We start from the raw sequence: 21,981 nt of genomic DNA, 5'->3' as shown, positions 1-21,981 counted from the left end.
TTTCATACTTGTTGAACTTCTGTTTATTACAACTTTACATTAGGGTTCTTATCTCACTGACCACACTCCTCCTATTTCTCAAATATTTGTGGCTATCCTTGCTTATTATTATTGTTGTTATTTTGAGATGGGGTCTCACTCTGCCACCCAGGCTGTAGTGAAGCGGCATGATCTTGGCTCACTGCAAACTCTACCTCCCAGGCTCAAGTGATCCATCTCAGCCTCCCGAGTTGCTGAGACCACAGGTGCATGCCACCACACCCAGCTAATTTTTTGTATTTTTGGTAGAGATAGGGTTTTGCCATGTTACCCAGGCTGGTCTCAAACTCCAGAGCTCAGGTGATCCACCTGCTTCCACCTCCCAAAACTGTTGGGATTAGAGGCATGAGCCACCATGCCTGGCCCTTGCTTATTCTTCTAGAGGATTTTTTAGCAAGCTCCTCTGACCTGTTGGGGGGGTATTAATGGATTTTTATTAAATCTGTGTAGATTATGTTAATTGGAAAATGAATATTCTTACAGTACCTTTCCTATCGAAGAGTATCCTCTGTTTCTTTGGTTTTTCAAATCCTTTTTATGTCCCTCAGTAATATTTTATCGTTTTCTTCATAAAGGTCACACATATTTTTATTTAATTTATCCTTAAGTATTTAACGTTATTCTTGCCATGGTGAGCAGGATTCCTTTATCCTATTATTGTCAGGCATGGGCAAACCTTTCTATAAATGTCTTTGGCTTTAGGGGCCAGGTGATCTCAGTCACATGTTCTTCTTTGCTGTTGTTCACAATCCTTTAAACATGTAAAAACCATTTTTAGCAGGGACCTTAACAGAAACAGGCCAGATGGTGGCTAGCTAGCTGCTGATACAGATGCTTGTCGCTGGCATTTGGGAAATGTTTGATTCAATCACATCGAAAGAGGCTTGCTCATGTGTTTTGTAACTCGCTATGTAATTGTAGGTTCTCTGAGATTTTTCATATCTTTTGATGTAGTTATAATTTGGACTTTTCTAATACTTCCCTCATCTTTCTTGGTCGGTGTACATTGATGGTGGTGACGTTGACACCCCCGACTTGTTCCTGACATCTGTTGTGTCACAGATAGGTTTGATGTAGTAAGATTATTAAACAAAACCACTCTTACATTATACCACATGCCTTAAAAAAATCATTTATCAGTCCACAAACGTTGGAGAACCTTTAATATATGTGCCAAGTTCAGCACCAGGGGTGGAGGTAAGATGGTGAGGCTGTGATACTGTTTCTTTCTGTTTCCCACAGCTCTCTGGCTAGGCAGACAGATAGACATGATCTTGCTTTGTTACAATCATCTTTTAAAATTTTACCTTAATTTTTTTTTGTACAGATGGGGTCTTGCTATCTTGCCCAGGTTGTTCTCAAAGTCCTGGCCTCAAGCAGTCCTTCTGCCTGGGTCTCCCAAAGTGTTGGGATTACAGATGTGAGCCATCACACTCAGCCCTCCACATGGTCCTCTGACATCATGATGAGGTGGTGATCAGAGGAAGTATTGATGGGAGTCACCCCAGTGAGAAGGGGTGAGATGAAGGGGGCTTATTTTGGAGGGATGGCATGAGCAGGGTCCTGAGAGATAGGAGAGGCCTGTGAGTAACCACAGTAGGGGCCATGAGGGACTGGGAAAGGGGGCCTGGATAGGCCCCATAGTCACCTCTTGTGAAGGAATTTGGGTGTCACTCTAAATTAGGAAGCCATCAAAGAGCATGGTAATTTTCTGTTGAAGCATCATGCTACTTACCATTTGGACAAGTGTTTAGAGCCATCAAGATGGAATGAGGGGCCCGGCATGGTGGCTCACGCCTGTAATCCCAGCATTGGGAGGCCAAGGTGGGCGGATCACCTGAGGTCGGGAGTTCGAGACCAGCCTGACTGGCCAACATCTACTAAAAATACGAAATTAGCTGGGCATGGTGGCGCATGCCTGTAATCCCAGCTACTCGAGACGCTGAGGCAGGAGAATTGCTTGAACCTGGGAGGTGGAGGTTGTGGTGAGCCGAGATCGCACCATTGCACTCCAGCCTGGGGAACAAGAGTGAAACTCTGTCTCAAAAAAAAAAAAAAAAAAAAAGATGGAATGAGTCTGGATTACAGGTGCAGTGGCTCATGCCTGTAATCCCTGCACTTTGGGAGGCTGAGGCAGGAGATTGCTTGAGCTCAGGAGCTCAAGACCACCCTGGGCAACATTGTGAAACCTCATCTCTACAAAAACTAGCCAGGTGTGGCACATGCCTGTAGTCCTAGCTACTCAGGAGGCTGAGGTGGGAGGATCACCTGAGCCTGGGAAGTCAAGGCTGCAGTGAACTGTGATCGCGCCACTGCACTCCAGCTTGGGCAACAGAGTGAGATCCTATCTCAAAAAAAAAAAAAAAAAAGATGGAATGAGAACACGAGTTAAGTGGCTGTTGTGATGTTGATGAGAGACCATGGTGATGTGTGCTAGGGAGCAGCCATGCAGGTGAATAGAAGTGCATATGTTAGAGAGTTCCTAGTCCAAGGAGGGTGGGTATCAGCCCTGGAAAAGGAGCTTGAAGGTGATTCCTGCCCCTCAGTGCCCCCTCAAAAATCACAAGGAGGGCAAAATCACCAGCAAGTCTCACAGAGGCAGTGTGTATAGGCCAGCTGGCCTGGGCTGTGTTTGTCCAGGGAAAACAGCTGTAAGCTGAGCATTTAAAGGGCAGTTTTATGTCTTGTATAAACAGTGTAATGGCAGGTTCAGATTACTGATTCAAGTTTGAATCCTGTTCTACTGCCTATAGCTGTGTATACTTTGGCAAGTTATTTGACTTCTCTGAAGCTCAGTTTCTACTTTTGTAGAGTTTGTGTGCAAACCAAGTAATATTATGCTTACTGGCCAGAAATAACTGTCATTTATTTAATAAGAGGTCAGAGAAGTGCCTGGCACACACCGACACTTAGCAACTGGAAAATTGCAGTTATTACTGCCATTGTCGCCATCATGATCTTCTATCCCTCTGCTCCTCCTTCCCCACTGTCATGTATTAAGGCCAAGACAGCGAGTGGATTTGCTCATTCTCTTTCTCTCTTTTGCAAAGGGTAGGAAAAGGGGCAATGAGGGACCACGGGTTGGCACACACACTTTCCCCAGTGTCAAATTCCCGGGGAGATTTTGCTTCTTGTTTTAATACAGAAGTTAAACTCCACTCTTCCCTCACCTCTCCCCTTTTATCTGTTGCATTTTGCCGCTGGACCTTGGCATTTATACACACCACGCTCATCCTGTGTGGATAAACCCTCTGATCTCGGGTTGTCGCATACTTTCTGACCTTGAGAGTGTCTGCATCATCCTTGTGCACCGGGGTGTGGAATGCTCTGTCCTTTTGGGCTTTTTATGGCGTGTCCAAGGACACATTTCTTTGCTCACCCCTTCTTCGTTCTTCCTCCATGTACTGTCCCTGATGAAAGGTGCTCCCCTCTTCCTGAGCCCTGCAGTCCTCTTCCCTGACGCCTTTCTCAGAACATCACTGCTCTGCGCTGTATGAGTCTCATCCTCTCCTGTGCTCTTTCAGGTCTAAGGCTTCAGGATACTCCAGGCACTACTCTGGAAGAGGTGGGTGAAGTGCATTAGTGGTTCCCCCACTGTAGCTTATGAGGTTAAATTAAATGCGTGGTGGAGAAATGGAGCACAGTTACTTGCTGGAAGGTATTCTTGTCGGGATGGAACTGTGTGTTCCTAGCGCTGGGGACGGTGGGGAGGGGTTTGCTGCTGCAGTGGATGTTCATGTCTGGAACACCAAGATGAACTTAACCTAGGAGAGTAAATTTATTCTGCTTTAAAAAGTCCCATCAGTTTCCTTAGCCAGGCATGGTGACTTGCACCTGTAGTCCCAGCTACGTGGGAGGCTGAGGCAGGATGATCGCTTGAGGCCAGGATTTTGAGACCAGCCTGGGCAACATAATGAGACCCCCTCTCTTTAAGAAAAAAAGTCCCATCATTTTCCCTAAAGTTGATATAGATAAGGGTGATTTGAAAGCTCTGCTGACATGCTAGATGTGGGACAAAGAGCTTATTGGTCCCTTGGAATGTGACTATATGGCATGTGGCCATGTAAAAATCTACCAGTATTTCACTATCCTATTTGCCCGTTTTATTTTCTGAAAAAATAAACTTCTGGTGGTCTCAAGGCAGAGGTCCACTGTGGCTCCTTCAGGCAGATTTTATTTTTAGGTATGTTTATTTTCACTCTGGGTTTTTTGCAGATTTTGGGAAGATGATGGGTGGCAGTGGCTAACTCACAATGTAGAAGGCTGATGGATTTGGCTACACAAACATGATGACAACTCTGGCAGCTCAAAAGGTCATCCCCCAAATTCATAAACAAAAAGCGGGGATAAAATGTTTGCATCAAATACAACAAAGATGTAAAGGATTAATATCCTTAAAATGAAGCTCTGTAAACATTATAGAAAATAGGCGAAGGACATAAGGGGATAAGCCACAAAAGAGGCTCTGTGGTTGCCAGCAGACATGAAAAACTCATGAACCAAGGCATGGCAACATATCTGAAAAATTACCCACTTGCACAGATTTTTTCTACATAGATATAGATATATATTTTTTTTAACTTTAATTTTAATTTTTTTTTGAGATGGAGTCTCGCTCTGTCGCCCAGGCTGGAGTGCAGTGGTATGATCTCGGCTCACTGCAAGCTCCACCTCCCAGGTTCACGCCATTCTCCTGCCTCAGCCTCCCCAGTAGCTGGGACTACAGGCGCCCGCCACCACGCCCGGCTAATTTTTTTGTATTTTTAGTTGAGATGGGATTTCACCATGTTAGCCAGGATGGTCTCGATCTCCTGACCTCGTGATCCGCCTGCCTTGGCCTCCCAAAGTGCTGGGATTACAGGCGTGAACCACTGCGCCCGGCCTGCACAGATTTTATATATTAAGGGCTATCAGACTTTGCAGTGTTGTAGTGATCCCTGCGGTAGAGTTTCATATCCTTATTAAACAGCAGAGTTGTGATGAATGAATTAGGACCTGTAAGTGGCGGGGGCTGTGGCAGGGTGGTGGGACCCCTGAGGTGGTCTGGATGTGGCATTTTAGGCTCTGCATTCATTTCTCTCTGGATGCTGTAAACATCACTTTTTCCTCCAGTTTTTACTGTTAATGATAAGAAGTCTGATGTTAATATTATCTTTCCTTTGTCAGTAAGCTGCTTGTGTTGGTATGGTTTCTTTTTTTTTTTTTTTTTTTTTGAGACGGAGTCTCGCTCTGTCGCCCAGGCTGGAGTGCAGTGGCGCGATCTCGGCTCACTGCAAACTCCGCCTCCTGGGTTCACGCCATTCTCCTGCCTCAGCCTCCCAAATAGCTGGGACTACAGGTGCCCGCCACCACGCCCAGCTAATTTTTTGTATATTTAGTAGAGACAGGGCTTCACTGTGTTAGCCAGGATGGTCTCAATCTCCTGACCTTGTGATCTGCCCACCTCCACCTCCCAAAGTGCTGGGATTACAGGCATGAGCCACTGTGCCCAGCCTTGGTTTTTTTCTGACAAGAAGTTTCAAGATTTTTTTTTTTTTTAGACAGAGTCTCACTCTTTTGCCCAGGCTGGAGTACAATGGCGCAATCTTGGCTCACTGCAACGTCCGGCTCCCAGGTTCGAGTGATCCTCCTGCCTCAGCTTCCCGAGTAGCTGGGATTACAGGCGCCTGCCACCACGCCTGGCTAATTTTTGTATTTTTTAGTAGAGACGGGGTTTCACCGTGCTGGCCAGGCTGGTCTTGAACTCCTGACCTCAGGTGATCCACCCACCTCAGCCTCTCAAACTGCTGGGATTACAGGCGTGAGCTACCACACCTGGCCAGAAAATTCTTTTTATAATGACCAAGCTGGAGTAAGTCCCATAGACGTGCTTCTGTGTGGGCTTTGCTGTCTCTGCTATATGCATGTTCCGAGTGTATCCCTTGGAGGACCTGATCTTGTCCTTAGGATTAACATGGCACATCTGGGATGCCATCCTTGGGAGGAGGGAAGTGTCTTTAAATGAAGATTTCTCAATCTCAGCCCTCCTGAAATCTTGGTGTGGGATCTGTCCTGTGCATTGAAGGATGTTCAGCAGCACACCTGGCCTCTATTTACTAGATGTTAATAGCTCTCCCCGAGTTGTGATGGCCAAAGACATCTCCAGACATTGCCAGATGTCCCCTGCAGGGCAAAATTACTCTGGATTGAGAACCACTGCTTTAAATGAATGTGGATAGTACGTGAATGAAAATGCAAATGTGCATGAATATGCAAACAAGAACGACCACCCCGGAAGAATTTGATGTGTGTACCTAGCTCTCCGTATTCCACTCATGGAACTTCACGTTCTGGCAGCAGTTTCTTTGTTTTCCTTTTTGGCCTTCTGATTTCTGAACTCTAAAATTTGTGTAATTCTTTCTCTTTTTTATTTCTTTACATTTTGTTTTTCCCCTGGCTCATCCAAAGTGTTTATTGAATGAAGTGTCCCATGAAGAGTTCCTCAAACAGCAAGTTCTGTACTTGTATTTCCAAACTTATTGCAGTCCTGTCCTCACATTTGCAGGGCAGCTTGGTTGGATTCTTTATTCCTAGTGGGAAGATAATTGGTGGTAAGATCTGATGTCACCCTAATTGGAGTACCAGGGGATGCACTCTGCCCTTCCCACCCTTACCTGTTTGCATTATCTTTTTCTTTATAAAAATTCAGGCATAGCTAGGCATATTTCATTGTATGTATGCCATTCCTTGGAGGGATCCTCTGTGCCCTCTCATTTTTTTTTTCTTTTGAGACTGAATTTCACTTACTCTATCATCCGGGCTAGAGTGCAGTGATGCGATCTTGGCTCACTGCAACCTCCGCCTTCCAGGTTCAAGTGATTCTCCTGCCTCAGCCTCCTGAGTAGCTGGGATTACAGGCGTGCACCACCACTCCTGGCTGATTTTTGTATTATTATTATTTTTTTTTTTAGTAGAGACGGGGTTTCACTATGTTGGCCAGGCTGGTCTCAAACTCCTGACCTCAAGTGATCCACCTATCTCCCAAAATCTTAGCTTCCCAAAGTGCTGGGAGTATAGGTATGAGCCACTGCGCCTGGCAACCTCCTCTTTTTACTGCTTTTGAGTATCTTCCCCTGCTTTTAATTGGGCACATGTAGGGAATGTAGAATTATTTTAATGCCCATCTAATCATGATTAATTGGCTGTATCCGCATTGCCCAGTATAGTAGCCACAAGCTACAAGTATCTTAAATTTCTATTTAAATTAGATACAATTAAAATTCAGTTACTCATTTGCACTAAGCACATTTCAGGTTCTCAGTAGCCACATGACTCTGTTGGATAGGACAGATATATAACATCTCCCTCATTGCAGAAAGTTCTATTAGGTAGTGCTGGGTTATGAGATATAAACCATATGCATATCAAAGAAGTACCTTAGCTATTTTTTTTCTCCCTAGTATTGTGATATTTTTGATAGTTTGGTTTAGTGGTCCCCCTCTCTAGTGGGCAATTCAGAATCAGTAGGTGACTATAAATAAAGAAGGTGTTGGGTGCCTGAAAACTGTAATTAGGTAAAGTATTTTTTGGATGCTTGGGTATAATGTGTAGTGTGACTTTTTTACTGTGCAAGAAACTCAGTGACTGCATGGCCTGTGTTGTTTTCATGCTTTGGGGTGATTTGGCTGTGCTCTTCTTTTCTAGGTGCTAAGAGATGCCGTTTGCAGGCCTCATCTCTGCTTGAGAATCGGGGGCTCCAGGCACTAGAAGAGCCGGCTGATCCTGGGCTCCTAGCTTGAATAAGCCTTCACTTCCAGCTGCTCTCCCCAACGGCTGTGTAAACTACTCGTTTCTCTTAATGATGGGTATTGGTAAGAATACCACATCCAAATCAATGGAGGCTGGAAGTTCAACAGAAGGCAAATACGAAGACGAGGCAAAGCACCCAGCTTTCTTCACTCTTCCGGTAATCATATTCCCCATCTTCCTTTCTTAAATCTCTTGAAAGTAGTTTCCGTATGGAATCAACATAGGATTGGCTTTAATGCTCATGTTTTCAGTGAAGGTTAAGGCATTTGCAAACCAAATACTTTATATGTGAGATAGTCTTTGGGCTAACTCTTGGGTTTTAGCTGTGCTCTCAGCCTGGAGTCATCTGCTGGGATTAACTCCAGGAAGGAAGTATGCATTGCTGTTAACATTTTAAATCTAGCCCAGTGCTTACTGTGTCCTGGAGGATGTTGAAGACTTAATTTTATCTTCAAAAGGTGTACTCTTAGGAAATAATGTGCAACCCAACATCACACTCATATTGCAAGCTGGGAGGATGAATGACTTACTGCTTGGAACCCCACTGTCCATATGTATTATGGCAGCAGTGTCCAGCGTAGAGGTAGTTTTATCCAAATAAGTGATAGCAGTCAGATAAGGCTGATTACACACATTCATTTATATTCAGTAAGAACATTTTTTTCCCAGATGTAGGACGATGACTTGATTTGTATAAAGTTACCTATAATGTGTTGGTTTAAAAACAGAAAAATGCTCTTTAGAGAGGTCTTGCCTCAAGATGTTTTCCTCTTAATACTGGAGATGTGGTTAATGGCAAGAATAGTATTCTAGGATTTTTTTCTTTCCTTTTTTCTTTTTTTTGAGACAAGGCCTCGCTCTGTTGCCCAGGCTGGAGTGCAGTGGCACCCTTAAAGCTCACTGCAGCCTTGACTTCCCAGGCTTGAACTATCTTCCCATCTCAGTCTCCCGAGTAGCTGGGACTATAGGTGTGTGCAGCCTGTAGTCTACCACAGCTGGCTAATTTTTTCTACTTTTTGTAGAGATGGGGTCTCACTGTGTTGCGTAGTCTGGTCTTGAACTCCAGGGCTCAAGTGATGCTCTCGCCTCAGCCTCCTAAAGCACTGGGATTATAAGCATGAGCCACCACACCTGGTTTCAAGATTAGTTATTATTATCAATGTTGCATCTGAAACTGTTGGCATGCCCCATAGCCTGATGATAAAGAGACTCAACAGTAAGACATTTGAGGGTAGATGGATCTACAGAGGTGTCAGTATTATTTTTTAAGACTGGGTCTCACTGTGTCACCCGAGTTGGAATGCAGTGGCACAATTAAGACTCACTGTAGCCTTGACCTCCTGGGCTCAGGCAGTCCTCCCACCACAGCCTCCCAAGTAGCTGGGATCACAGATGCCTGCCACCATGCTCAGCTAATATTTTTTATTACTTTTGTAGAGACAGGGTCTCCTTATGTTGCCCAGGCTGGTTTTGAACTTGAGAGCTTGAGCTCAAGCAATCCTCCGGCCTTGGAGGATTCTTTTTTTTTTTTTTTTTTTTTTTTCTTAAAAAAATAACAGTTATTTTAAGAAAAATATATTTTAAGAAAAAAATAAAAGTTATTTTAAGAAAATAACTTTTCTTAAAAAAAAAAAAATAGACTGAGTCTCACTCTTGCCTATGCTGGAGGGCAGTCGTACAATCATAATGGAGCTTTGAATTCCAGGGCTCAAGCCAACTGACTTAGACTCTTGAGTAGTTGGTATTATGGATGCATGCCACCAACCCTAACTTGAACATGGCATCTTTTTTTTTTGAGACCGTCTTGCTCTGTCACCCATGCTGGAGTGCAGTGGCACCATCTTGGCTCACTGCAACCTCTGCCTCCCAAGTTCAAGCGATTCTCCCGCCTCAGCCTCCCGAGTAGCTGGGACTACAGGCATGTGCCACCACGCCCAGCTAATTTTTGTATTTTTAGTAGAGATGGGGTTTTGCCATATTGGCCAGGCTGGTCTCGAACTCCTGACCTCAGGTGATCCACCTGCCTTGGCCTCCCAAAATGCTGGGATTACAGGTGTGAGCCACTGTGCCCAGCTGAACATGGCATTTTTTAAGTACATTGATTGACTGCTTTCGTTCACACTTTATTCGTTTATTTTTTTAAATTGTATTAATTCTCAGAGAGCTGTTTAACTAATTTTACAACTGGCATTACCATTTTCTTTTTTCCTATAATGAAAAATTTTGAAACTGGATTTTCTTCACTGTTGAAAGCTTAAGGTTGACACAGATTTTCTAGGGGAAGAGGCATCAGTCCAGTTGTTCAAGATTAAATTAGATGAACTTGAAGAGTGAATGGGAAGGTTTCATGCATGGGGGTTGCCTCATCTCTTTGGTGGCTTTATTTTATCTTACAGCCCAGGAGATGATTCACTCTCACTTCCCTTCACTTTCGGGACAAGAACTTGAACATGTCTCAACCACCTGCCTTGTCATTATGGTCCAGAATTTAAGATTTACTTATTCTAGGTTAAACTTGTAGTATTTTATCGTTAGCAGTTGAATTCATCATTGTATGTTGTCAGCTTCCTCATTCCTTGTTATTTTTTGCGTTCTTCTTCTTCCCTCTTAGTTTGCTTTTCATTTAAGATACACTGATGGTCTGTGGATGGTCACCATCTTAGTCTTTCTACATCTGGAAATAATTGTAGTTTGCCCTCCACTATTACACAGACTTCTGTGAATGATACGGCCCAGCCTTCCAGCCTGTCCTCATTTCTCTTTAGCTGCTTTCTCTAATGATTTGGGTATCCTCTTCCAGCACTGCCTTCTGGATGAGTCCTTCAGTATTTTCCGGTTTACTTATTTTTTGTATACAGTCATGTATTTGTGTTGAATTCTTATTGCAATAATTATACTTCTTCTAAAATTTTTATTTGGTTAACTTCTGCCTATTTTTGGTCCTTAATTTCTTATATATATGTGTTTCTTTTAAATGTGACTTCATTTAAATCATTGGGAACCCTGATATACTATATGAAGTCCCTCCCTAGTTCTCTTTCCATCTGGAATCTTCCAGGAATTTCATCTCTTTCTCTGTGCTTCTGTGGGGTTTGTGTCTTCTCATTATGGATCCAGTCCAGAGGCAGACCCTAGGGTGGAGCCCTCGTTGTCTTCCCCAGGGTTGCCAACCATGGCATGGAAGAGTGGGGAAGCCTGCCTGGCCTGGTTCAGCCCCCACCTTGTTCCCCTGCTGGAGCCGAGGCTGCCTGGCTTAGGGCTTCCAGGCTCAGCCCAGCAGGTCCCAGTGTCAGCCCCATTTTTTTCCATAAGTGTTTTTTTTTTCTTTTTCTTTTCTTTTTTTTTTTACACAGGGTCTCATTCTGTTGCCCAGGCTGGAGTGCAGTGGAGCAATCACAGCTCACTGCAGTCTCGACCTCCTTGGCTCAGGTGATCCTCCCACCTCAGCCTCCTGAGTAGTTAGGACTGCAGGTACGTGCTACTGGGCCTGGCTACATTTTTGTGTATATATATATTTTTTAAATTTAGAGATGGCATTTCTGCATGTTGCCAGGCTAGTCTGGAACTCCTGAGATCAAGTGACCCACCTGTCTCAGCCTCCCAAAGTGTTGGGATTACAGGCGTGAGCCACCGTGCCCAGCCCATACATGTTTCTTGCGTACGGAAATGTTTGTCTTTTTAAGCTTGCCTATTTTGAGGTTTTTCCCTCTATCCCTGTTACATTTTTTAGGGCAGGGTTGGGAAGGAATACTGCTCACAGCATTAATTTCCAGATCCAACCTAAGTAGGAGTCCCTGTGAGAGCATGGGAGCTGGGAATGTGGACGTAAGCCATAGTTGGGTGTAAATATGATGTTAATTATAAAGTTGATTTAACAGTAGAGCCATTTAATTAAGGATGTTATGGAATTTTTATCCCAGTCTAGGGCTATAAAAGGAAGCCTTAAAAGGGGAAGAAAATAGTTTTTAAAATTATGCTAAATTGAACTACAAAGAGTAGGAATAGAGCTGGAATCATGGGATGGAGCTGCTGGGAGGGGAGAAATGCCAAGGATAGAGATGGCAGAGAGTCCAAACATGAGCTCCCAGGATGATTTGGTGTCAGGGATGCCAAGATGAACCTTAGTCTGAACTCCCAAAGCTCAAGATAAAGTAGATTACATAAAAGAAGGAAAACACGAAAACAAAACCTCATCAAAGAATGTTTACAAAGGAATAGTTTGTGGGATGGAGTTTTGGGTTGTGGATAGTTTTGTTAGAAAACATGTTATAGGCTGGGTGCGGATGCTCAGGCCTGTAATCTCAGCACTCTGGGAGGCCAAGGTGGGAGGATCACTTGCAGCCAGGAGTTCAAGACCAGCCATGGCAACATAGCGAGACCCTCATTCATACCAAAAATTTAAAAATTAGCTGGACGTGGTGGTGCATGCCTGTAGTCCTACCTACTTGGGAGACTGAGATGGGAGGATTCTTTGAGCCCAGAGGTTTGAGGCTGCAGTGAGTTAGCAGTTGTGTCATTGCATGCCATCCTTGGTGACAGAGCAAGACCCTGTCTCCAAAATATATATAAAATAAGAACAGGAACACAGTACTGCCCGTATTTAATCACTAGTGAAATTGCTACCCTAAGTCAACTTTTAAAGTAGAAGACCATTTTGAATGATTTGCCCATTGACAGGGAAAAAGTGAGGGGACTAAGTTACAGTGGGTCGCTTCCCATTGCCTGATGGATGGGATTAGTGTGGGGGCAGCTGGTTGGAGGCAGGGGCAGTGGGGTAGCACAGGAAGAATTGGTGGGTCTGGGAGATACCAAAGGCATGGGAATAGTAAGAACAGAGGTGAGGCTGATAGAAGAGGTGATAGGAGGTTTTGAGGGCCAAAGAAGGAGATGTTTCGGATTCTCATCAAGATTTTATACAGAAGAACCTGATTGGGTATATGTTGGCTTTGGAGAAAATATGAAGTCTAGGGAAAACCATAAGTTTGGAGGGTGGGGAAGATGGAAGATGATGGGTTTTATTTGAGAAGTTGTGGATTTGAACTGCGGTGCTCCTAGAGCCTGCAGGCAGTGGGGGTGTGGGACTTGACACACATAGAGATCAGGAGAGCTGTAAAGACTCACTGTGATGGCTCATGTGGGTGGTGACTGACCCGTGTGAGAGGGTGCTGCTGGCAGGCAGAGCTGGCAGAGGAAGATAGGGTTGAGGGTCTCACCGTTGGGTATACCCACACATGAGTGACAGGGAGGATCATGCCAGGACATTGCTGCATGCTAGTGCCTTGTTTCATTCTGGCCTTTGCAAATGTAAATATTGAAGAATAGCCAGCATGGCAGCTCTGGGTTTTATCTTTTTGTCTGGATCTGTACTGTCCAGCATCATGGCTGCTAGTCACATGTGACGTTTACATTTAAATTAAATACTATTCAATAAAACCTGAAATTCACTTCGTTAGTTGCACTCGTCAAGTACTCCATAGCCACACGTGGCTAGTGGCTAGCCCATCTCTGCTTGCTGGTTAGGGCCTTGCGAGGCTGAAATGTTGGCTCTTATTTTCTCATTTGCCTCAGAATCCAAAGCTGGGCTTTAGGCTGTCAGCTGTTAAGGCATCTAGAGAAAGGTGTGCTGGAGTGCAGCGTGGTTGGGCACCAGTAACCAAATCTGGCCGTTGCTGAGAACCAGGCTTGTGGGGTGTCTCCTGGAAAGGGAGGTGGGGTGTGTGGCTGATAAGGATCTTATCTTTAGAGATTCTCTTAGGCATCCTGTGTTGGATGAGTGCTTCCCAGATCTTTAAACAAAATAAAACAAAACACCCACACAAACATTTTACAAAGAAAAAGAACAAATCCATACTTAGAAGTAGAATGTCCACTAGGTCAAAGTAAGAACAAGAGATGTGCCAGGCCCCAGGACTCATGGAAATTAGATCATGTGGTCAGAGTTGATATCAAATAGGGGGAACATAGCAAAAGATCTTCTTCTTATCCCACAGGACTCTAGTTAGGCAAATTCTTATGTTTTAAAGCCAGCTAGGAAATGCGTAAATAGGGGTGAATGCCCATGGCAAGAAACAGGAATCAGGAAAAAAAAAAAAAAAAAAAAAGCAAAAAAAATTCTGATGAACGATCGTACCCTAGGGACATTGATCCCAAAGTACAGACAGGAAGCACGGCCAGAAAAAGGCTGTGTGTTTGCTCAGCAGTTCTTGGACCACCTAAACCTGGAAGCCCAGTTAACAGCCCAAACTTCCTGTTGGCACAGGCACGGCTGTGACACACACAGCCTGTTGTTTCAGTGCGTCATCATTCAGAGTCAGGGAAAGCGTTTAAGCTTCCTTAAGCTTTTATTTCTTTTAACAGCCTTTGTGAGAATATTTGGGTATCAAGAGTAGATTATTCTGTCTGGAGATATTAGCGGCATGGACCGACGAGTAACTTTATGAGGTTTAGTCTTACCAGAGAGTGGGAGAAATACTCCTGGGTGTTCATAAGAACCGACCACTTCTCATCTTACCTTGGTGTGTGTTCTTCAGAACATGTAATGGGAAGAGCCCACAGCCTCACGTTCCTCCATTGATTAAATGTGTCTGGTGCACATACCTGGTAACCAGCTGCTTACAGCCCAGTGGGGGACATATGGCAAGACAGCCAGCATACCATCAGTGTTAGGGTTTGAATTCTGCACGGGTGCTGTGATAGTGTCCACGTGAGACCCTTGCCCAGTCGTGTTGTAGGGTGGGCCTTGCCGGTCAGATGAAGGTTCCCAGGGGAGATAACATGGAACTCCTAAAAAATGTCTAGGTATAGTAGGTCAAGAGGAGGGAGACTGAAGGCCTCTCAGCTGAGGGTGTGCATGGCAGTGTCCTGCTTGGGGCGCAAGTTTAGTGCAGAGTACAGTGGAGGTGGAGATGAGCAGCAGGGATGCTGAGGAGAGGTCATAGTAAATTTGCTCGTTTTGGGGTAGGAAATTCCTGCGGTGGGTGCCGGGGCAGGAAGGGTCTGGAGATAGGAAGGCAAGTTAGGGTGCTTACGCAGTCCAGGTGTGAGCCGACAGTGACCTGACCTGGAAAGTGCGGAGGAAAGGAATTCTTCCATTCAGCAGATGGTTATTGGGCACCTGCTTTGCGTGAGGCTCTGTCCTGGAATTGGCCTCCTAGTGATGGTGGGAGGAGAAAAACAGTAAAGAAACAAGCAAATACGTCAATCTTGTGGCAGCTGGTCACTAATTCTGTGAAGAAAAATAAATCAGGGAGGGGAATAGTGAGAAATAGAATGTGAGGTCAGACAGTGATCATACAGGACCTGCAAGCCATTCATTAATTTGTCCTTTTAAAAATAGGAACTGTGTGCCACTCACAGGTCTGGGCTCTAGAGAACAGCAATGAACAGACAGACAAAAATCCATGAGTTTCCATCCTTTTTTTTTTTTTTTTTGACAGAGTCTTGCTCTATCATTCAGGCTGAAGTGCAGTGTCATCATCATGGCTCACTGCAGCCTCAACCTCCTGGGTTTAAGCCATCCTCCCACCTCAGCCTCCTGAGTAGCTGAAATATGGCACATGCCACTGTGCTCAGCTGATTTTTAATTTTTTTTTTTTGTAGAGACAAGGTCTTAACTATGTCACTGATCTCAAACTCCTGAGCTCAAGCAATCCTTCTGCCTCAGCCTCCCAAAGTGCTGGGATTACAGGTGGGAGCCACTTTGCCTGGCCACAGGGCTTTCATTCTGGTGTGGGAGACAGGCAATCCACAATAGAAATAAGTCAAATGTGTAGATGTTAGATATTGACAAACACTAGGGAAAAAAATAAGGTAGAGGTATGGATGCTGAAAATTCAGGCGGCCAGGAAAGGCTGCACCAAGAAGGCGGCCTTTGAGTAAAGTCCTGGAGGAGTTGTGGGAAGCCTGCATGTGGGCCTCAAGGGCAAAGGCCCCACAGCAGGGGGGTGCCTGGTGTTGCTCCACCAGGATGGGCATTGACCAGAGATTCCATAGGTCTTGTGGGCCTCACCAGGGTGTTGGCCTGAAAAAAACCTTTGGAGGCCTTTGAGCAGAGATGTGACATGCTCTGCCTAGTGGGGAGTAGGCTGAAAGGAAAAGCAGGAGGCCAGGCAGGAGCTGGTGGCCCTAGGACAGGTGTGCTGACAGCAGCTGCATCCTGGGTGCTTGCCATGTGGAGGTGGGAGAAGCCACCAGGCTCTGGAGCAGACCTAGTTTCTGTGCTTTTGGGCTGGATGAGGGTGGGGGCAAGTCCCTTCAGAAAGAGACACCCATTCCAGGCGTTGAAAAGTATGTCAGGAGAAACTCTGACTCCAGAGGGAGGACGGGGAGGAGCCACAGTGGAGGAAGGGTTGGCTGGAGGTGTGGCCGAGAGCTTTGAAAAGAAGGGGCAAGTTGCTGTCCTGGAAGAGACTCCTGGAAGGAGCTTCAGGAGGAGACCTGGGGCCTGTGGGGCTGTGTCCTGATGGGTGTGCCTAGCAGGCAGGAGGTGAGCAGGACAGAGTGGCGATGCGGCTCAGAGCTGTGCTGTGCAAGGATGCAGGGATGTGAGGATGCCCCAGAGCGGAGGGGAGGAGGGCAGCCACCAGGATCAGGGACCCATGCTCCTTTCTTTCCTTTTCTGTTTCCTTCCCATCCCTTCTTTAAGACAAGTGGCCTTGGCAGAAAGATGTAGGGAGGTACAGTGAAGAAACCATTTAATGGCTGCTTCAGTTCCTCTAAACCCCTGACTATGTGATGACAGATTTGAACATGCCCCTTTTCAGCAGTGAAAAGAAGGCAAAAAGGCTTTTTGGTGCAACTACCTTCATTCTAAAAACCAAGCAAAGAAGCCCAGAACATGTCCTTGTTCTTGTGACTTTCGTACCAGGTGCTGTGAAGTTCCTTTTTGTACATCCCTAAATAGAGAGTTTGGAGTACTTAGATCTTAAAACGAAAAGTCTCAGTTGGATGGTAATAATAGTTGTCTGGGAAAATGTTCTTTCTGTAAGAATAATAGATTTTGGAATTGACTATGATTCCAAGAAGGGCCTGAGGATGAAGAGAGACTGTTTCCTGGAGTCGGCCCAGGGAATTGGTTTAATTCTCCTATTTCTGTAAGATGAGAGTTTTAATATACTGCATAATGGCCATGATTTAGGCAGGGGATGCCCTTAACAGCTTGAAGTGGAACAACCAAGATGAGCACCCTTTTCTGTTTTAAAATTTGTAAGTTGGGGGGAAAAAGTGTTAGAAAAGGAATATGCCAATATATGCTTTGAAATGAAAACATCAAAACGATGGGATGCAAGTGAAGATTTTTGTGCATGGTAAGATGTTCTTTTCCTTATCCATCCTCCCTCCCTCCCTCCCTCCCTCCCTGCCTCCCTCCCTTCAAGATGGGGTCTCGCTACATTGCCCAGGCTGGTCTCGAACTCCTGGGCTCAAGCAGTCTTCCCACCTTGGCCTCCCAAAGTGCTGGGATTACAGGCATAAGCCACCACACCCAGTCCTAGATTTTTAACTTAAAAATTAATTTTTTTTCCTCTGGTTTTGAGGTTTCAGATAAGTTTATCATATTGCAATATACTTTTAATTTGAACAGAGTTTTGGTAGTTTTAAATGAAATGAGAGATGTTAGTAATACAAAGTACACATCTAATAGTTGGGAGACACACAATTTGTTACGAATGAAAATAGTAAGAGGTTCTTGCTACAGTCTCTTACTATAGCAGGCTTACGAAGTTGATCAGCATTCTGGCCATCTCTTACTTGTGTGTGTGTGTGTGTGTGCTTTTTTTTTTTTAAAGACACGGTCTTGCTGTCACCCAGGCTGGAGTGCAGTGGCGTGATCTTGGCTCACTGCAGCCTCTGCCTCCCGGGTTCAAGCAGTTCTTGTGCCTCAGCCTCCCAAGTAGCTAGCTGGGACTACAGGCATGCACGACCATGCCCAGCTAATTTTCGTATTTTTTGGTAGAGACTGGATTTTACCATGTTGGCCAGGATGGTCTCAAACTTCTGACCTCAAGTGATCCTCCTGCCTCGGCCTCCCAAAGTGCTGGGATAAAGGCGTGAGCCACTGTGCCCGGCCTCTCACCTCTTAATTTCTGTGAGGTCAGGTTTATGGAATCTTGGTCATGGAAAAGGCCTTAGAGGACCTCTTGTTTGTTCTGCTCTTGCTAAATGCTGTGACAGGAATGCATCAGAAGTAGTTGACAAGCTTCCTTCCTTTCCTACCCCATGTGATCCCCCTGCCTTCATCCTGCTGTCTCCGCTTTCTGTGGGTCAGCATCAGTTCTTCCTGGGATCATCGTGACAACCTCTGTGTGATCTCCCTGCCCCACAGCCTTGGTCTCTTCTGACCCCTGATTGCTATTCCTGCCTGTGCCTTTTGCACTTCCAGGACTACTTCAGATTTCCTTTCTTCTAGGTGAATCCCCACTTCTAAATTCCTAATCCCCACCCCCACTAACTTTTATTTGCCTAAGCTAGGTAGGCAGGCTTCTTAGTTTTAATGATTAGAGATAAAATATTTCAGATTGATTTCTTTACCATAATCTAAGCCCATAATTCTATTGGAGAAAAAGTTCATTCTTGCTAGGATTTGATAAAGTACTTGAGGAGGAAGATATGATATTGGAGGTTTCGAGGCAGTAATCACTCAGTTGTCACATTCCCCACCCTCTTAAATTGCCCTTAAAATGGATGTTTTTAAGCATCCATAGTTCTCCCTAGGTTTTACGGTACAAACTACATTGTTGGGGTGAAATGGAAGAAGCAAGAATGCTGATATGTTCTTCTGCCTCTTTTTTGTAGTTCTCATATGTGTATTTTCTGTCCCTTTTTCATTATTTGTGTAACTTTCTTCATTTACAAGAGAAATAAGTTCACTGCAGAAAATGCAGAATGGTAAAATGAGGAAAACAAATAATTTAAAATCTCACTAGCCAGAAAAACACCACTTTCTGTTATTTTGGTAGTAACAGAAAATATTTTACTGATATTTTGGGTGTATTTCTTTTTTTTTTTTTTTTGGTTGTGATTGTTGTTTGAGACAGGGTCTCACTCTGTCACCCAGGCTGGAGTGCAGTGACATGATCATAGCTTCCTGCAGCCTTGACCTCCTGGGCTCAAGTGATCCTCCCACTTCAGCCTCTTGGGTAGCTGGGACTACAGGCATGCACCACCACGCCCAGCTAGTTGTTATTGTTGTTTTTAGTAGGAATGGGGTTTTGCCATGTTGCCTAGGCTGGTCTCGAATTTCTGAGCTCAAGTGATTGGTCTCCCAAAGTGCTGAGATTACAGGCATGAGCCACTGTGCCCAGCCTTGATGTATTTCTTTCCAGAGATTTAAGACAAGTATTTGAGTGTTCTTTTATAAAATTCTCATCAACACACAATCTGCTTTATGAAGACTTTAACTTTGTATCATATCGTGGCATCTCAATGTTATTAGAAACAGAACTTGTAATTGTGACATATAGCAAATCATGGATCTAACTTTTCCACTTGCATTGGGACTTTGGATTGTTTCTAATGCTTTGCTATAATAAATAACAGCCTAGTTTATATTGACCTTATTGTATCTGATTGCTTTAATTTTGAGTTTCAGTGAAGCCAAACACTTCTGCCAGCATTCCTTGGCCATTTATATTCTTTCATTGTGCCTATTCTTCTCCCTAGCCCCTTTATTCCTGCGGAGTAATACTGGTGATCAAAGATACTGCATCATACAGAACAATTACAGAGAAGATCCCTGGATCTGATAGCACTTTGAGGGAATAGAGGGAGAACCAGCCGCACCACCAGCCAGATCTGTGCCTGTCATTACTGATAGCCCTAGGATAGGGGGATGTTTACTCTGTCTCTGTTTAGGGGGAGCAGTTTTTGTTGTAGAAGGAAGTGTCTGTATCTACAGATCTGTGTCTGTAGCTCCGTTCTTGCTCTTTTCACTTTCTGATATACAGATGATGTTCTGTATACCTGTGTCAGTGTATAAGGATTATCTTCATTGTTTTTTATAACTGCAAAGTGATCCATGGTATAGATACACCATAATTTATTTAATTACTGCAGATAGACATCTAGACTGTTTCTAATGTTTTGCTATTACAAATAGCACTACCCTGAATAACCTGGCACATAAGTTGTTTCACTCAGGTGTAATTGAAGGATAGATTTCCAAGAGTGAGATTTTTGAGTCAGAGGGGATGTGCCTTGGTAAGCTGAGGGGGCTACTCACCAAATTGCCCTCTGTTGAGGAATTTCGTCAGCAATGTGTAAATGCCTGTTTTCTTGCATGCTTGGCAGCAGAATATGTGGTCAGACTGGGCTCTTGTCCCGATTAGTAGGTAGAAAGAGGTTTCTCATTATAGTTTGGTGGAGTCTCGTTCTGTTGCCCAGGCTGGAGTGCAGTGTCATGTTCTCGGCTCATTGCAACCTCTGCCTCCCAGGTTCAAGCAATTCTCCTGCCTCAGTCTCCCAAGTAGCTAGGATTACAGGCGCGAGCCTCCATGCCCAGCTAACTTTTGTATTTTTAGTGGAGATGGGGTTTCACCATGTTGGCCAGGCTGGTCTCGAACTCCTGACCTCAAGTGATCCACCCGTCTTGGCCTCCCAGAGTGCTGGGATTACAGGCGTGAGCCACCGCACCCGGCCTCTCATCATAGTTTTAATGTATATCTTCTTATGAGTAAGGTTGAGCATCTTTTTACTGTTCAAGAAGCATGTTTATTTCCTTAGTTATTTTCCTGTTGGGATGTTAGCCCTTTTCTTGTTGGGTTTGTGTCCCTTCCATATTTACATTTTAGAGACATGGGTTTGTTATCTGTAATGTGTTAGCACCTGGAAAGAATGGGAGAGGACGGTCCGTTTTGGGTGGAGTGCTGTAATGTGCTGCGTGGCCTCAGGATCTGTTCTTGAATCCATCTGGGGACAGGATCCCCAGGGACATCTCTTAGAAACCTCACCTAGCAGGGAAGATGTTTGAAGTGCCCAACCTAGTGCCAGGCATGAATATGTGCCAGGCAGACAGTAGCAGTCACCAGCACCACCTGCCTGGGGTGTGGGAGGAGCACACACTGCAGAGTGTTTCAGTGTGGACCTTGGCAGACACATCACCCGCCCGAGCTCTGCTGTGGGCCGGCATGGGGAGAGGTAAGGCTCCTTCTGGCTCCTCTTGTCGCCCTACTGGGGGACAGGTGAGATGCAGCTGGAATCCCCGGGGTGCTTCTGGCTGCCACAGCCTTAGCCTTCTGGAGAAGGCAGCCCTAAGAAGACCAGGCTGGGCCAGGCGAGTGGTGGAGGCTGAGCCATCCAGCAGCATCACCTGCACTGGGGAGTTACAGGAGCCATCCTGTGGGAAGAGGCAGTGAAAGCAAAATTAGAGGCTTTGCGGCATCAGCCAGATTCAAGGTCGCTAGTGTCATGTTAGATCTATCGGCTGCTGCATCTTTTTGAGATGATGTAATCTAGATTGACAAGCTTTGGGTGTTTAGAATATGTTGTACTGTACTCACTTGAATTTATTTTTCATAGTGGTTAATTTTGAAATTTCTAATAATATTGAAAGTAGGTGGAAAGTTTTCATGTTCATAGTAAAGGAGCTTGCAGTAAAGGCTGGGAAACACGAATCTATTATCTTCTGTATTCAAAACACATTTTAATTGTGGAGTAGATTTGGATACAAGAGGAAATAACGGTGTGTGCACACATTGAGGAGGGGGATTAATAACTGTGTGTTACCTTTCTTTTAAAAGAATAGAAAGCAGAAATTTGGGGAACTTTATTACTATTCTGAAAGCGATTGGTTTAGTATAAAGTGGTTCTCTTAGCGGCCAGACACGATATAGTAAGTGGGAAATTGAGTTCTGAACACTCTCATTGGAGGTGTGGGGTTTTGCAGGTGCTAGTGCCCTCCGCTTGACAGGTGTCACGAAGCAGCACATGCACTGTCACTTCTGCTTGAGAAATGTGGGCACACACAGCTGTCAGTTTCGCCTGGCACTGCTGTGATACTGACACCTCTAGGCAATGACTTCTGTCACTCCTGCTTCCTACACCTCTGACCATCTCAGGAGAACTGTTTAGAAATAAGTACTTTAATACCATTGTCTTAGCTTAGTAAAAATAAAACACAAGCAAAAAGACAAGTGTAAGACTTGACTTTGAGTGTGGAAA

The 21,981-nt window shown here is 44.7% G+C and overlaps 1 protein-coding gene across 2 annotated transcripts in view, besides 1 other annotated feature; it reads left to right on the top strand.

The window, feature by feature from the left end:
• The window catches only part of SLC23A2 (solute carrier family 23 member 2), a 157,956-nt gene that overhangs the window by 69,875 nt on the left and 66,100 nt on the right, over positions 1-21,981 (top strand). For both annotated transcript variants that reach the window (NM_203327.2, NM_005116.6), the window contains exon 3: positions 7,723-7,984. In NM_203327.2, the coding sequence (NP_976072.1) occupies positions 7,877-7,984 (108 nt within the window). In that variant the 5' untranslated portion in view covers positions 7,723-7,876. The remainder of the gene's footprint in view (positions 1-7,722; positions 7,985-21,981) is intronic.
• Positions 13,942-14,236: an enhancer, noted in NCBI's record as "tiled region #14391; HepG2 Activating non-DNase unmatched - State 14:Gen5', and K562 Activating non-DNase unmatched - State 24:Quies". NCBI's record gives its function as "activates a minimal TATA promoter and a strong SV40 promoter by Sharpr-MPRA in HepG2 and K562 cells {active_cell/tissue: HepG2 | K562}" and the evidence as "EXISTENCE:reporter gene assay evidence [ECO:0000049][PMID:27701403]".

Source organism: Homo sapiens, chromosome 20, assembly GCF_000001405.40.
Source record: "Homo sapiens chromosome 20, GRCh38.p14 Primary Assembly".
In the NCBI taxonomy this organism is placed as follows: Eukaryota; Metazoa; Chordata; class Mammalia; order Primates; family Hominidae; genus Homo; species Homo sapiens.
The sequence above is the reverse complement of the archived record's forward strand: the minus strand, read 5'-3'. Positions and strand labels throughout refer to the sequence as shown.